The sequence below is a fragment of the Homo sapiens genome, chromosome 6, assembly GCF_000001405.40.
Source record: "Homo sapiens chromosome 6, GRCh38.p14 Primary Assembly".
Lineage (NCBI taxonomy): Eukaryota > Metazoa > Chordata > Mammalia > Primates > Hominidae > Homo > Homo sapiens.
Window position 1 is genome coordinate 34,983,693 of NC_000006.12, and position 16,363 is coordinate 35,000,055.

Below are 16,363 nucleotides of genomic sequence, written 5' to 3' on the forward strand. Positions count from 1 at the left end.
GAGGATCATCTCAAGATGAATTCAAATCTCAGTGAAACCTTCTTTTTCTAACACATAATCACAATCTAGTGCCTTGTACACAGTTGACGAGTAATAAATTTTTTTTTTTTTTTTTTTGAGATGGAGTCTCACTCTGTTGCCCAGGCTGGAGTGCAGTGGTGTGATCTCGGCTCACTGCAACCTCTGCCTCCCGGGTTCAAATGATTCTCCTGCCTCAGCCTCCCAAGTACGTGGGATTACAGGCACCTCCCACTATGCCCAGCTAATTTGTTTTTGTATTTTTAGTAGAGACAGGGTTTCACCATGTTGGCCAGGCTGGCCTCGAACTCCTGACCTTGAGATTTGCCTGCCTCAGCTTCCCAAAGTTCTGGGATTACAGGCGTGAGCCACCGTTCCCAGCCAATATTTAATGAGTATCATCTGATTGGTAGGGGGGTACATGGCAAATTTTGATAATATATCATATGAGCAACAAATGTGGTCTGGATGGGAGCTTAGGGAGTCTAGCCTAACAGTAGTCAGGATCCACCTTTTCAGATGCATTTAGCAGCCTTTTGGGTCCTTGATATGATGAATACAAAGATAGAATAAAGATTGACACCTTTCCCCAAATATAGATTACAATAAAGAAGGCTAGAAAAACAGAACAAAGCTAAAAATGAAAAAGGGAAAGGGATTTCCCAGAGGAGTGCAGGGAGATACGGGCTGAAGGGTGCCCAGCTCTCTGAACTGTGGAGTCCTTGTCTTCCTCCCACATGCACTTTTTTTCTTGACCACATAATCTGCTAGTAATGGGATTAGTAGTTCACTAACCTCTTCAAGGATTTTACATTTATGGTTTTGATTATTTACAGGTGACCCAGAGTTGCCTGGGCTCTAATAGTTGGTAACTTTGCAGAGTCACACATTTGGATTGCAGGTGCTCCGAGGCTGATAGTTATCTAACAGGCCAAGCTAACAGCTGCATGGGCCTCCAGCTCAGAAAGCCTTTGCCGTCCTCTATTTTGCTTGAGCACATGGAGACTCTTATTAAAGAATGTAAAGGGTAACTTAAGTTTTTCAGTTACACCTTGCTATATCTTATGGGTTAAGTTTATGTCATTATGGTATTGAGGTATTTTGGGACTTTATAAAGGCCTTGGGAGGTATCTCTTATAGATGTCAATGGTTTTTCATATTGAATTAAAGAAAAATCTGTTTAGATCTCAGGGTATAAAGAACAGCTGAAACTATACGTATTCTTGTCCATGGAACAAAGTAATCATTTTCTTGCTCTGGGTTAGTGTTTGTGAGCGCGGGTGACTAAAGAGGCTTTGGGTTGCTGCAGTGGTTGGAACCTGAGATTCTGCTCCCCTTCAGTGACTCTCTTGCCCTCCATCCTCCTCTCAGGTGACGTGGAGAAAGCAGTGACTGAACTGATTATAGATTTTGATGCAAATGCTGAAGAAGAGGGTCCCTACGAAGCTCTGTATAATGCCATCTCCTGCCATTCGTTGGACAGCATGGCCAGCGGGCGATCATCTGACCAAGACTCCACGAACAAGGAGGCTGAGGCAGCAGGAGTGAAACCTGCTGGAGTGAGGCCTGTATGTGACCCGGGGCTTACACCTCCTGGGGGCTGTGTTGGCTGGCTGGCCCCTGAGGTGATGGGGCACGGGGAAGGGAAGTGTGATCCCTGGTGCCAGCTCATGTTTCCGGGGCCTGGAGCCCACTTATTCTCTTCTTCATGGGGCTCTGCTGGGTCTCTCTTGCTGAGTGTACTGAAACTCTACAGATCACACTGAGGTTAGAGTTTCATTTTTTCTAGTTTCAGTATAAGCAGCTTGCATCTTTACGTGACTTCATTGGCCTTAGAGCAAATTAAACATCTTATTTCTATTTAGCCTTAGTGTTGCTTCTGTCTTTGGAATTTTTGCTGTATATTGTCTGTTTTCTCTCTGAAAAGCAGAAGCATACAGTGAAAGCTCACTGAAATGAGTTCCTATCTGTCCTGAGTGTATGCTTACTATCCACTTGCCCTGAAAGGATTCTCCATTTGGATTTGGGCAGGTTCTGGATTCAACAGGGTTGTAGCAGGGCTTAACATTGTATTTATTAGTATGTGGCATTCCTATTTTATCTAATTATAATGCCTCCAGCCATTGAGATAAGAGGATGAGAACAACTCTGAATTTTTCCTTCTCAAGGTCCATTTTCTCATCTTTCTGTTTCTTTCTCTAGTACAGATGCTCCTTGACTTACAGTGGGATTATATCCCGATAAAGCCATTGTAAGTTGAAAATCTCATAAGTCAAAAATGCAGGCAATACACCTAACCTACCAAACACCATAGCTTAGCCTAGCCTAGGTTAAATGTGCTCAGAATATTGCATGAGCCTACAATTGGGCAAAATCATCTAACATAAAGGCTGTTTTATAATAAAGTGTTGAATAGCTTATGTAATTTATTGAATACTGCACTGAAAGTGAAAAACAGAATGGTTTTGTGAGTACTGGAAGGACAGTTTCTACTGAATGCTTATTGCTTTCCCACGATGATAAGGTTGAAACATTGTACCATCGCAGGTCAGACAGTCTGTACCTGCTTTTACTTCTAGCCTTGTACATTGTTCTCAAGATAACTTACCCCTGGCTTCTCCCCTAGGGTTATGTTGGGAGTGTAGGCCCGAATCACTGGTCCCACTGACCCTCCTTCCTCCACTGCCACGCACAACAATTTGAGGTTTTGAGCAGTGCCCATTAGCTAAACTGACCATTGCTCTAATGAGATCCTAGTGCTAACCCCATCTGGAGACAAATTTTCAGGCCTGTGTTATTTCTTCCTGTTGGAGGGGCTGGCCTTTCCCTTTTGGTCTGAATCTGGCTTGTGACCATTTTGATGATCCTTTGGCTGCAGATAACTCTTGTTTCTTGCAGGTGTGCCCTGGGAATGACCTTATGATTCTTAGAGTGTTCTTTTTCATTAGGCTCTTTGCTGTGCCCTGCTATGCCCTGAAACACCATTTTAGTATGGATCTTGGAAAGGCCCGCAGTCTAGTGGTAGTCCACCAAAGTGGGTGTTATCAAGGACTGTGACAAAACTCCTTGTGAGCGGTGAAAGCAAGTGCATGTGCTGAGCACCACCAGTATAGCACTTCTATAGACAGCTAGTTATTTCACTTATTTTGCTTTTAGGCACAACGGAATTAAGCAAATCCAGGTTTGGAGGAAGGTGGTGTTTTAATTGGTACTTATAGGTGATGCCCATTAGGGGGCGCTGCAGTCTTTGCAAGAAGCTGCTCAGGGTTACTGAAGAAAGCTGAGAATGATTTCCTGTGATTGATTTACACAGGTCTCTTTGTTCCCTCCTGCTCTCCTTTTTGCCTCCTTCTCTCCCTCCTGTGGTCCTAAGCAGAAACGGGTGGATGCTTTGCCATTTTTACTTGTGTATGTTGTGGCTGTGCTGTCTTCCTGGCCCTTGGTAATTAACTATGGCAAAGGGCCTGTTTACCTCTTGGTAAACACAATGGATGGTATGTGTAAATCACTGTGGTACTTCTAAGCCCTGCTCCAAAGTTTTCACCTTAGAGAAAAAGACACAGGTATTTCTCTTTCCTTCCAGTGTCCCTGGTGATTGTTTCTTACACAAAAAGCTTCCATATTGTTCTTTCTAGGCTTTTTTGGCCTTAGGAAGGCTTCTACGATGAGTTCTTTTTGTTGTTGTGTTTCCTTTTTGTTTTTTTTTCCCTCAGTTACTTGATGTCCCAAGGTTGGTTAACTGGTGATGGATACAGGCCTGCTCCTTTTGCTGTTCCCTTCCTTACAAGGTGGCACTGGAACCAGGTTCCTGCACTTCTGGAGCAAAGAAGGGTGGGGAAAGTGGGACTTAGTGGGACATCTGATATAAATAGCTTTGTTTGGCTTGAACATACAGGCTTGTTTTGAAGTTGTTGCCATTGGGCATCCATCTGGTTCCAGGGTCTATGGGAATGACCGACTTATCAAGATAGAATACTGAGCAGTGAAGCCTGTTTTAAGAGAGAGATTATGGATGCCAAAATGCTAATGCGAGTAGCTCCTAAAACATGAGAAACATCTTTCCATGCAGATTTTGCTTGAGCTCTCGCGTAACTCAGCGTTCTGTTCTTTGACTTTCTGAAATACTCCTGTTTTAACAACACAGTGAACAAACCTGCAAGCCAGGGAATGAACCTGCAGGACAGCTCTTGTTTTGGGTCCCCCACTGCCTTTAGTCGGAACACTGATTCTCAAGCATGACCAGGGCTTTGGAATATAAACAGTGCTAAAGGCCCTGCAGGTACAATGGCAAATATCTCTTCAGCTTTCAGTTTTCCTTCATCAGGATCATCCTGTGTCTTCCTGAAATTGTTTACCCATGATCTAACTTATCCTGTGTCACCTTTTCAGTGACTTTCTTATTCTAGAGCAGGGGTTGGCAAACGACAGTCCACAAGCGTCTGTTTTTGTAAATAAAGTTTTATTGGAGCATAGCCACACTCATTTATTTACATATCATCTGTGGCTACTTTTGCATTATAATGGCAGAATTGACTGCAAAGCCTAAAATATTCACTATATGGCCCTTAAAAAGCTTCTTTTCCTTTTAAAAATGGGTTTAGATGGGCTGGGCACGGTGGCTTACGCCTGTAATCCCAGCACTTTGGGAGGCCAAGGCGGGTGGATCACAAGGTCAGGAGATCCAGACCATCCTGGGTAACATGGTGAAACCCTGTCTCTACTAAAAATACAAAAAATTAGCCAGGCGTGGTGGCGGGCACCTGTAGTCCCAGCTACTCGGGAGGCTGAGGCAGGAGAATGGCATGAACCTGGGAGGCGGAGCTTGCAGTGAGCCGAGATCGCGCCACTGCACTTCAGCCTGGGCGACAGAGTGAGACTCTGCCTCAAAAAAATTTTTTTTTCAAATGGGTTTAGATGAAATAGAGTTTCATATAATACTTATTATTGAAGGAGGCAACCAAGGATAAGAGAACAGGTTGAGCTTTTTGCTAATAAATGGGAGTAGACCAGTATCAGAGCGTTAACATTTCAACAGGAATTAACATTTTTGTCCTTGATTACTTTCCTCATTACTTCCTCAGTAACTTTGATTTGTTAGAACAAATTTCACAGGTTGATTTCTTTTGATCCAGTGTTTCTTCTTTCTAGAGTAGACTGAAAAGTGAACCACTGATTTTCCTAAGGTAAAGTTTTATGTATCAGTATTATGAAGGAAATTTTCTAACAAGGCAGTTATGTGTTCTCAGTACTGGCATTTCTCACTGTGGTCTAGGATATGAAAGAGGTGTTTATGATCTCTGCTACAGACATCAAAAACCATAGAGCATGCTAATTGAATTGTGTATGTATGCACAGAGTTCTCCATCTGTTCAGAGACGAAACCTTGACTTTAGTCTCTCAGGGGAGTTCCATACATTATTTTTTTCATTTCTAAGGGCTAAGATGAGGGCAAACCAAAAAATTAGATACTTAAAAAAGAGATCGCAAAATATTTATTTTTTTCTCTTCTGCAGAGGGAACGTCCACCACCTCCAGCAAAGCCACCGCCCGATGAAGAGGAAGAAGACCACATAGATAAGAAGTATTTTCCCTTGACAGCTTCTGAGGTAGAGGGTTGTGGGTTTATTCCCCATTGCTGAAATTTGAGTTTGTTGAAAAGTGCATCGATGTGTGCTTTAAAAGACTTTGCTTTCTCATCTTCTCATCAGCTCTTTGGATTATAAATTTGTATTATGTGTACTAGTAATCTGGAATAAGACCTTCCAAACTCACAAAGAATTTTAATATAGCTCTCGCAGACAGGCCCAGTATTGATCTGCCATACCACACGGAAAGTAAAATGTACATTTTTTCCTGGCTCCAATAAGCTGAACAGTCTCACTTTTTGCTTTTAAGCCTCTTGTCTTTTGATACAAGATGTAGAGCTTCCCTTTAATCACTGTTCCCTAGACTGTGCCTCATTAGCAAGCTTTAGTGCTTCTGCCCCAAACATCTTATTCCTGTTTTTGTATTTTTTCCTGTTCGTTTCACATGAAGACTCTACACCAGGACAAACATGAATTGAGCCATGAAGACTCAATTAGAAAAGACATAGGAGTTATGTGGGATGGCCAGGGCTGGAAGATCAAAGAAGTTTATTTGAAAAGAATAGTCTACCCTTTTGAAAAGGAAATGTCATCATGAGGCAAATAACTCAATCACTTAGAAGTGTGAAAAAATTGTGTTTTCCTTAATCTTTCATCTTCAAAATGCTCTGCTAACACTTCCTGCCATTAGAATATATCTATGGAATATTTATTGAAAATATTACATAATTTTATTAGTCATTTTGTAGCTCATTCAATGCCCTATTCTCTAATTTAAAAATCAGCTAATATAAAACAGTTAATTACTCTCATCACTTTGTCCCTAGAAGTTCGAGTTATTGATTTTTTACAGTATTGCCACGGACCATGGCAGGTTCTTTTATTCAGTATAAACACATGGAACCAGAAGGATGGCTTTAGTTTAACAAAATGTATAAATACAAGGAAGCCCTTTTAAAAACGTAAAAGTCAGTGTTGGAGATAGGGGAAGATTTCTATGCTAGGTACAAATTCTGTCCTTAATTCTTTCCTTTAGTTACAAAATGCTTATTATAATGTCTCATCTAAGGGTTTCTAGATTTGCAGCCTGTTATTACCACCTCTGGATAATAACACATTTCTAGTAGATCCAAGTGTACGCAGTAAATCCTTCCATATTTTTATATAAATAGAAGTTTGTCTCATTACCCCCCTCCTTTTTTTTTTTTTTTTTTAACAAGGAGAAGCCTAATAATAAGAATATTCAGTTGGGGCTGGTTCTCTGTAAATGCCTTCTGCCCCTCTTTAACAAGCACTTGAGTTAAAATTCATAATGCTTGGGCAAGGCTCTTAAAGAAACACTGGATTATACCCAGAACTTTCTATTCTCCCAAGGTTTTCTAAAGCATTCAATGTGGCAATAACACAGTGTCAAGAAGTGGTGGCTGGGAGAGAGAAGGGGGAAATCTTCATATTACTCTCCTAGATGGGAGAGTTTGAGATACATTTTCTAAAACTTGCTTCTGAATAGCCTGGAATTCTGGATCAGTTGGAACAGCATAGTCAGTATTTGGAAGATGGTGAAACACTGAATTTGCTAATTTACTGGTGATTATAGGTACCTGAATACAGAGGTGATACGGCCTGCATATGATCCAGGCAGATTTTATTCATATGCTGTAGTTTGTAGTCTGAATGGTCTTCTTCAAAGTGTACTATTATGTATATTTTTTGGACTTTGTTGTCTTTCCCTGTCTTTCCTTATACTGTTAAAGCTTTAATACCCTAGACTCTATCATATCTCAGGAGACACTGACTTCATCAAACTTAGGTTTTTGTCTTTGGCAAGCTATCTGCCCCAATATTTGTATTCCTATTCCTAAGCCTGGTCATTGTCAGATGACTCATAGAAGCCTTTAGGAGAAGCCAGAGTATACCTAGCTCTAGGAGTGCTTATCAGATTAATGACCTGATCATGAAACTGGCTTAAAAACATTAGACACATATACTCACACACATACACATGCTGTGTAGATGTTTTTGCCCACAGAAGGGGCTGCCAGCTGCATCAGGACTGGCCGTAGTCTTCTCTGTGCTCAGATATGCTAAATATTCATGGAAGTTGCAGCTGCTGGAGTATCTCTTCCCAGAAAGCTCCCACACCCCAACTGGACATTCCATTGGTCACTGTTAGGTGGTGACTGCTCATAGCTTTTCTCTGCAGCAGAAATGTTGCTTTCCACATAGCCGGGAAAAAAAAAATATATACACACACACACACACACACACACACACACACACACACATATACACATATATATATACACACATATATATACGTATATACACACACATATATACATATATACACACACATATATATACACATATATATACACATATATATACATATATACACATATATATACATATATACACATATATATACATATATACACATATATATACATATATACACACATATATATATACACATATATATACACACATATATATATACATATATATACACACACATATATATATGGCTTTGATTTATTGCCAGCCCTGGAGGAAAGGAAAAAAAAAAAAGATTAAGGAGTAATTTAGTAAAGAGCAGAATCCTTTCTGTTGAAAATCAGTTATTGCCGTATTGACTATGACATAGGGCTTCTGGAGTGGGAGCTAGGAAGGCTCAAAGAAAAGCAGTTTATTGCTTTATTGTGAGGATTTTTAATCCCATAGCTGGTAGGAGCCAGCACCAAGAAGAAATGATCACTCTACTTGTCGTCTGGGTATGAGCAATTGGATGAAGAAAAAAATGAAAGCCAGAAGAAAATGAGGCCATACTGGTCCAGGATCAAGGGAATTGACTTTTATGCCCATGGCTCTGTTGTGAGCTTTCTGTATAACCTTGGACAAGTCCCCAGACCTCTCTGGGAACCAGGTTTGTCATCTACGAATGAAAGAGCAGAACCGGGTGCTCTCTGGCTGTTACTGTGATGGTTAGGATCCCTTCCAGCTCTGGCATTTGATGGTTCTCTGCCTCTATTTGTCCTGCACAAGAACTAGGCACAGAGTGAAAGCAGGTCCAGTGGGCCTGATTTTCCACATGGAAGTCATCAGCCCTCTGCTGCATGAGAAGAAAGGATATTATAGGCTGGGCATCCAGGCTGTCAATTACCTACCTCTGAAGGAAGCATGCCGGAGGCTATATGAGAGTTCTTCCTGTGTGCGGAACACTCACTGAATCAGATTTCTAGGGCTCTGTGTAAGTGATAGCTGTAGGTGCGTAAACCTGCAGAACACAAATTCCTGCCTGTGATGCCTGTGGTATTAAGTTGACACAGTGTGAACTGCTTAATGGTCCCTCTTTGTTCCCTTAATTGTGTTCCTATCAAGAGGCAAGGAATAAGTAATATGAGTAAATGGCTCATTGTAATGAAATAGCTTTTAGCTTCCAGGTAGCTTGCTGTAAGTGGAGGTTCCTGCTGTGCTTAGCAGAATTTTGGAAGGAAACTGTCCTTTTGCCTTTAGAGTGGCAGCCTTGTTAACAAACAGGAGCTGCAGTTTCTTGTTTAGTCTGACGCTACTAGAGTCCTTGTTGTCTCATTAGGCACATAACACAGTGAGCTATGCCTTGAGAAGCAAAAACCCGATGAACCACAAACCTGATGCATTTCCAGTGGGCTAAGGGACATGTCAGTATGGAAGGAAATCTCTGTGTTTGCCAAGGAATCACATTTTTAGGGTAGCATTATTTGTTAGATGGAATTGGGAATTCCCCCTACTCCCACCCCCTTGTTTGTAATACGTTACTTGTCCTAGCCAAACTGATCAAGAAGAGATCTTGAGCCTTGGTTTGCTGTTCTAATAAGTAGGATTTGTCTTAATACTAGCTTATTCTTATTTTTCTTCTTATTTTGCCTGTGAAACAGTTTGGATTCTTAGGACAACTGGGCCAGAATTATCCTCTAAAGCAAGGACATCCATTGTCTCTCACAAAGTGGCTGTAGCACTAATTGTGGTATCTACAGCTTGATTCAAGGGAAAGCGTGGCTACTCTGGTACCAAGACAAGCCGTGGCCATCAGGCCCTCAGCTGGTCAAAGCCTTACAGTTGCCAGGTGTAGGAGCCAGCTCTGGTTCCGTTATTTCATCAGAGACACTTGACTGCCTGGATTAGGAATTTCTCAGTAGACAGCTGCTTTTCCCCCTCCACACTGAAATTCAAACTTTCTAGCCACTTGACTCTTCAGAGCAGAGATTGGTGGAAGTAATTTAAAATTGTATTAACATAAAGGTTGTAGGAATCCAGTTTTGGGGATATCCTTCCCAATAACCCTCAGGACCTCTGAAGAAAAGCTCACAAAAATAGAGATGGACTTACAGACAAGTTTGTTTCTAGTAAACGTCAAATGTTGAGGGTCAGTTGGAAGTCATTTTGGTTTCCTCTTGAGGAGGTGGGAAGGATTCCAGTCTTTGGATAGTATATGTGCATATTAGAAAAGAAACGTGGAGAAAGAGGTCTGCCTTCACGATGGAGCATGGCTAAGAGCTGCTTGGCAAGTATTAGCCTCAGAAAAGAGATTATGCAGAACACTGTAGGCATGGGAGACGCAAGAAAGGAAGGATCCTGGATTTTATTTAGCATTTTTTGAAGACTAAAATCAAAGAAAAGGGAGTTTTTTGTTTTTTTGTTTTTGTTTTTCCTTAGAGACAGGATCTTGTTCTGTCACCCAGGCTGGAGTTCTGTGGCACAATCCTGGTTCACTGCAGCCTCAAACTTCTGGGCTCAAGTGATCCTCAGAAAGGGGTGTATTCTAATCAAAGGCCTTTCAGATTGGAGGTATGGATATATATCCAGAAATGCAGTTGTGATTCTATGTGACACTTGAATTATTCACCTTCTCTTTTCCACCTTTCTTCTTTGATGAAAAAAGAGCCAATAATCTCGAATTTGTTCCAGACTGCCTGTCTTGGTATTAGCCACATGCACAAGATACACTGGATGTTTCTCTCCCTTAGGTTCTGTCCATGAGACCTAGGATTCATGGGAGTGCAGCCCGGGAAGAAGACGAACACCCTTATGAACTGTTGTTAACAGCAGAGACAAAGAAAGTGGTGTTGGTGGATGGAAAAACAAAAGGTACGTTCCCCACAACTCCTGGCAGAACCAACTCCAAAGGGATTTTTAAAGTTTGTGATCCTGAGTGGAAGGGGAAGATGTCGTAACTATGATATTCCTTGGGTTGTGGTGGTTGGGTTTCACGATGATCTGGGATGGTGGGTCCATTATGGCTTTTCATTTCCAATACCTGACCTATATGCTCTAGGTTGGAGTTGGCTGCCACCTTCAGTATGCGAAGCAAGGAAAAGGTTAGGTCAGACTAGGTGCTAACTGTGGGAGGAGAGACCACCAGCCCCACGGCAGAGATTGATTTGGGGTCTCAAATCATAAACCCTCAAGTTAATGCTGTGGAAAAACAAGCTCAACAAGTCAGTCCCTTTGGGTTCAGGCTGACGGCACAGACTCTGCTTTTGAGTCCTGACCTCAGAGTGAGACACTCCTGGGGAGGGGCCCGTGATTGGCTGCCACCCTGTAACTAGAGTGCTCTGTCGCCTTGGCCTACTTTCATTGCCTCTGCAAAATTCAGTTTCCTCTGTAAGGGAGTGAGTGCTGCAGTACTGAGATCCAGCCCGTCGATATAAGTGCAGTCACGACAGAGGTGAGTGTGCACTGCTGGAGAATTTGTGTCAACCCCTGTTCTAAGGAAGAATGATAAGGGACAATGCAGTTCCCACTGCAGTTTGAAGGAACTCTTGTGACCTTTCCCAGCTCTCTACAGCTTGCAGGTATTAGGGCCTTCATGGGGTATGCGTACCTTCTTTCAACCCTAAGACATTCCATGGTTCAGGTAAGAACAGAGGATGAGATGGTTTCCTTTGAAATGCCCTTTGCTGAGATCTGTCAGTGGGTAGAGGGCGGCAAAGAGAATGTGTGCATATGCGTATGACATTGTAGACTTTATTTTTAATGGTCCTGTTTAAAAGGTTTTCTCTTGCATGCAGACATTGTGGTCATTTTCATAGTGTTTTTTTTTGTTTTGTTTTGTATTTTATGGTTTCCATTCGGAGCTTTTTAAAAAAGTTATAATTTAGATACAGTAAAATTTATCCTTTTTGGTGTGTAGTTCTGTGAATTTTGACAGATGGAGTTGTATAACTGCCATCACAATAAAAATATAGAACAGTTTCATCCCCAAAATTTTTCCATGTTCTTTTGTAGTCAACCCCTCTACCTTCCCTTATTTCTCACAACCACTGCTCTGATGTCTGTCCCAATAGTTTTGCCTTTTCCAGAATGTCATATAAATGGAATCATACAATCTGTAGCCTTTTGAGCCTGGCCCCTTTCACTTCGCTAATACATTTGAAATTCATCCATGTCATTGCATATATCAATAATTCGTTCCTTTTCATTGCTACTATCCCATTGTGTGGATATACCCCAGTTTATCCCTTCTCTAGCTGAGGGATATTTGGGTCATTTACAGTTTTTGGCAATTACAAATAAATCACTAAAAACATTCACTTACAGATTTTTGTGTGAACAGAAGTTTTCATATCACTTAGATATGTACCTATGAATGGGATTGCTGGGTATCCCAGCAATAGATGTTTAACTTTATATGAAATATATAATATGTTTAACTTTATAGGAAACTGCCAAACTATTTTCCAGAGTGATTATACCATTTTGCGTTTCCATCAGAAGTGTATGAGAGTGATATACATCTACTTGCTATATATATCATCCCTAGCACTTAATATTGTCAGGTTTTAAAAATTTTAGCCATTCTAGTAGATACGTGGTGTTAGTTCATTATGGATTTAATTTTCATTTTCCTAATATCTAATGATGTTGAGCATTGATTAATGTGATTAGTTACCATCCTTAATATCTAATTAAATGTCTATTCAAATTTTTGCTCATTGAAAAAAATTAGATTGTTTTCTTATTATTGAGTTGTGAATTCTTTATATATTTTACATACAAATTCTTCATTAGATATGTGATTTTCTCCCAATCTGTGACTTGTCTTTTTGTTGCCTTAACAGTGTCTTTTGAAGAGAAGTGATTCTTAATTTCAATAAAGTTCAGTTTATCCTGTTTTTAAAAAATGGATAAGGTCACCAATCTTTTTTTTTTTTTTTAAGACGGAGTCTTGCTCTGTCACCAGGCTGGAGTGCAGTGGCCCAATCTCAGCTCACTGCAACCTCCACTTCCTGGGTTCAAGCAATTCTCCTGCCTCAGCCTCCCGAGTAGCTGAGTCCACAGGCGCGTGCTACCACGCCCAGCTAATTTTTGTATTTTTAGTAGAGCTAGGGTTTCACCATGTTGGCCAGGATGGTCTCGATCTCTTGACCTCGTGATCCACCTGCCTTGGCCTCCCAAAGTGCTGGGATAACAGGCGTGAGCCACCATGCCTGGCCACCAATCTTTTCTATTTTTTTTGCTAAAAATTTTATATCTTTAGGTCTTACATTTAAATCTATGATCAATTGTGAGTTAATTTTTATATATGGTGTGAGGTATGGATCAAGTTTCATTGTTTTACAAATGGCTATCCAATTGTTTCTGCACAATTTGTTGAAAAAGACCTTCCTTTCGCTATTGAATTGTCTTTGCAACTTTGTTACTTTTTTCAGAATTGTTTTAGATATTCTAGTTCCATTGTCTTTCCCATTTAGAATCAGCTTATTGATTTCTTCTCCATCCCCACACCCGGTTCTTAGTGTGCACAGCTTGTTGATTTCTACAAAAAGTCCTGTTGGGATTTTGTTTGGGATTATATTGAATCTATATTGATTGTGAAGAATTGATAACTATATTGAGTCTTCCAATCATATTGGTAGAATTTTTTTTTTTTTTTTTTTGAGACAGAGTCTTGCTCTGTTGCCCAGGCTGGAGTGCAGTGGCATGACCTCAGCTCACTGCAACCACCACCTCCCAGGTTCAAGTGATTCTCCTGCCTCAGCCTCTCATGTAGCTGGGATTACAGGCATCCACCACCATGCCTGGCTAATTATTGATTTTTAGTAGAGATGGGGTTTTGCCGTGTTGGCCAGGCTGATCTCGAACTCCTGAACTCAGGTGATCCACCCGCCTCAGCCTCCCAAACTGCTGGGATTACAGGTGTGAGGCACCAAGCCTGGCCATATTGGTAGATTTTTAATTAAAACATTTAGAAAAGGTGAAGTAGAACACTAATGCCCTCTCTAGTCATTCGATAATAAATTATGCTTAAAAAACTAACCCTTAAAAAACAAGCAATTAATGAATGCTGTGTTTGAAAATGGTTCATAGTGAAGGAATAATTTTTAGCATCATGGAGGAGGGAGATTCCAGTTCTTTCTTTCTTTCATTCAAAGGTTTCATCTGGAACCACTACAAGATAATTGACTCAACCTTTGGAAGAAAGAAAAGTGGAAAGTTAGACTAACTTCATAAGTGGGGCTGGTGTCCTTAGCTACCAAGTGTGCCTGAAAGGGATTTTGTATCCCCATATCAAGAGATCGTCAGGTTAAGGAAGGAACTGCCAAGGAGGACTTTTGGCTACACATCTGGTCCTCCTATGCTTTGGTTTCTTCCAATTCTGCAATATTGGGCTAAGTGTTGAGAGTGGGTGGTATAGAAGCAGATTTAATTGAACCACAGGCTGTGGGATGCGCCTGCCTCAAGGCTTGCTGTTTAGATCACTCAAAGAGCTTTCAGACAAAATACCTGAGACACTGAATATGAAAATGGGCTCTGCTAGTTTCTTAGAAGCCTTGCCTATCCTGGCAGCCTGGCAGGAAAAGCTAGCCTAGAAGGAGTGCCTGCTAAGGTTAGTATAAGTGAGGTACATCAGCAGACCATGTGGTAGGTATTACTGAATCTTTTCTGTATTTCCTTTAATGTCATTGTCTTATGCAGCTTTTATGAATTAATTAATCAGTTTTCAAAAGGCCATGTTAGTGAGACTGTCAGAGCTTTTAACCCCTCCTTAGTATAATTAAAAAAACTACAATGTGTGAGGGTGGTGAGGGAAGAGAGAGACCCTCTCATATTGTTTTATACTCAGAAAAGAAAAGAGAAGCAAAACTAAAGGCAGGTAGCCTGGCACCTAGGAACAGACCCAAAACCAAGGAACCAGACCCGAAACCAGGCCTGGGCCTGCCTGACCTAAGCCTGGTAGTTAAAATTCTACCCCTGACCTAGCAACTGATGTTATCTCTAGATTATAGAAAGACATTGTAAAACTTCCCGGTCTGTTCTATTTCACTCTGACCACCGTTGCATGCAGCCCCTGTCACGTACCCCCTGCTTGCTCAATCGATCATGACCCTCTCACACGGACCCCCCTTAGAGTTGTGAGCCCTTAAAAGGGACAGGAATTGCTCACTCGGGGAGCTCGGATTTTAAGACACTAGCCTGCTGATGCTCCCAGCTGATTAAAGCCACTCCCTTCACTATCTTGGTGTCTGAGGGGTTTTGTCTGCGGCTTGTCCTGCTACATTTCTTGGTTCCCTGACCAGGAAGCGAGGTGATTAACGGATGGTTGAGGCAGCTCCTTAGGCGACTTTAGCCTGCCCTGTGGAACATCCCTGCGGGGGACTCCAACCAGCCAAAGCAACGCGGATCCTGAGAGTGCTCCTGGGTAGGCACTTGCCCTGATGGGACGCCTTGCCAGAGCAGTGTGTGGCAGGCCCCCGTGGAGGATCAGCACAGTGGCTGAACACCAGGAAGGAACTGGCATTTGGAGTCTGGACATCTAAAACTTGGTAAGACTTGTCTTTGGAACTTGCCCACTCCATCTGAGTGGAAGCATGGCCTGATCATCCACGGTGTGCCTTTATCGGCACTTTGGTTTTGGTTTTGACATGGTTTGAATTCCTTGACAGGGTTGGTCTTGGGAATTTGCCTCTACCATTTGAGCGGAAGCATGGCCTGATCACCCATGGCGTGCCTGTACCGGCACTTTGGTTTTTGTTTTTGACTTGACTTGGGTTGCTTGATACTTTGGTTTTGGTTTTGACCTGGCTTGGATTTCTGGATACTCTGATTTTGGTTTTGATTTTGGTTTGGTGTAAACTGCAAAAGTGTGTGTGTGCCCTTTTTACCTGTTCTTTGTTTTGTGCGTGTGGTGTGAGCGTGGTGTTTTGTCTCAAAGAAGCATGGGTCAGGAACAAATAAGCCCACCCTACTAGGAACTATGTTGAAAAATTTCAAGAAAGGATTTAAGGGAGATTACGGTGTTACTATGACACCAGGAAAACTTAGAACTTTGTGTGAAATAGACTGGCCAGCATTAGAGGTGGGTTGGCCATCAGAAGGAAGCCTAGACAGGTCCCTTGTTTCAAAGGTATGGCACAAGGTAACCTGTAAGCCAAGGCACCCAGACCAGTTTCCCTACATAGACAGTTACAGCTGGTTTTAGACCCCCTTCCCCGCCACAGTAGTTAAGAGAACAGCAGCATAAGCGGCTGGCAGAGGCAAGGAAAGACCAGCAGAGAGAAAGAGAGGAAAAGACAGGAAGAGACAGAGAGACAAAGAAGGAGTCAAGAAAAGAGAAAGAGAGACAGAGAAAGAGAGAGGCAGAAAGAGGAAGAGACAGAGGCAAAAGGAAAGTCAGAGAGAGAGAGACAGAAAGTCAAAGAGAGAAAAAGAGAAAGAAATATACAAGTACTTAAGAAAAAAACAGTATACCCTATTCCTTTAAAAGCCAAGGTAAATTT

At 41.6% G+C, this 16,363-nt stretch overlaps 1 protein-coding gene across 10 annotated transcripts in view, besides 1 other annotated feature; it reads left to right on the top strand.

The window, feature by feature from the left end:
* ANKS1A (ankyrin repeat and sterile alpha motif domain containing 1A) overlaps positions 1–16,363 on the top strand; it is a 208,736-nt gene that overhangs the window by 94,438 nt on the left and 97,935 nt on the right. For all 10 annotated transcript variants that reach the window (XM_011514431.4, XM_011514434.4, XM_011514432.4 and 7 more), the window contains 3 exons: positions 1,390–1,586; positions 5,532–5,624; positions 10,610–10,730. In XM_011514431.4, the coding sequence (XP_011512733.1) occupies positions 1,390–1,586; positions 5,532–5,624; positions 10,610–10,730 (411 nt within the window). The remainder of the gene's footprint in view (positions 1–1,389; positions 1,587–5,531; positions 5,625–10,609; positions 10,731–16,363) is intronic.
* Positions 8,663–9,311: an enhancer, noted in NCBI's record as "NANOG hESC enhancer chr6:34960132-34960780 (GRCh37/hg19 assembly coordinates)". NCBI's record gives its function as "activates a minimal SCP1, AML or CMV promoter by ChIP-STARR-seq in naive and primed H9 embryonic stem cells {active_cell/tissue: H9 hESC(naive and primed)}" and the evidence as "EXISTENCE:reporter gene assay evidence [ECO:0000049][PMID:30033119]".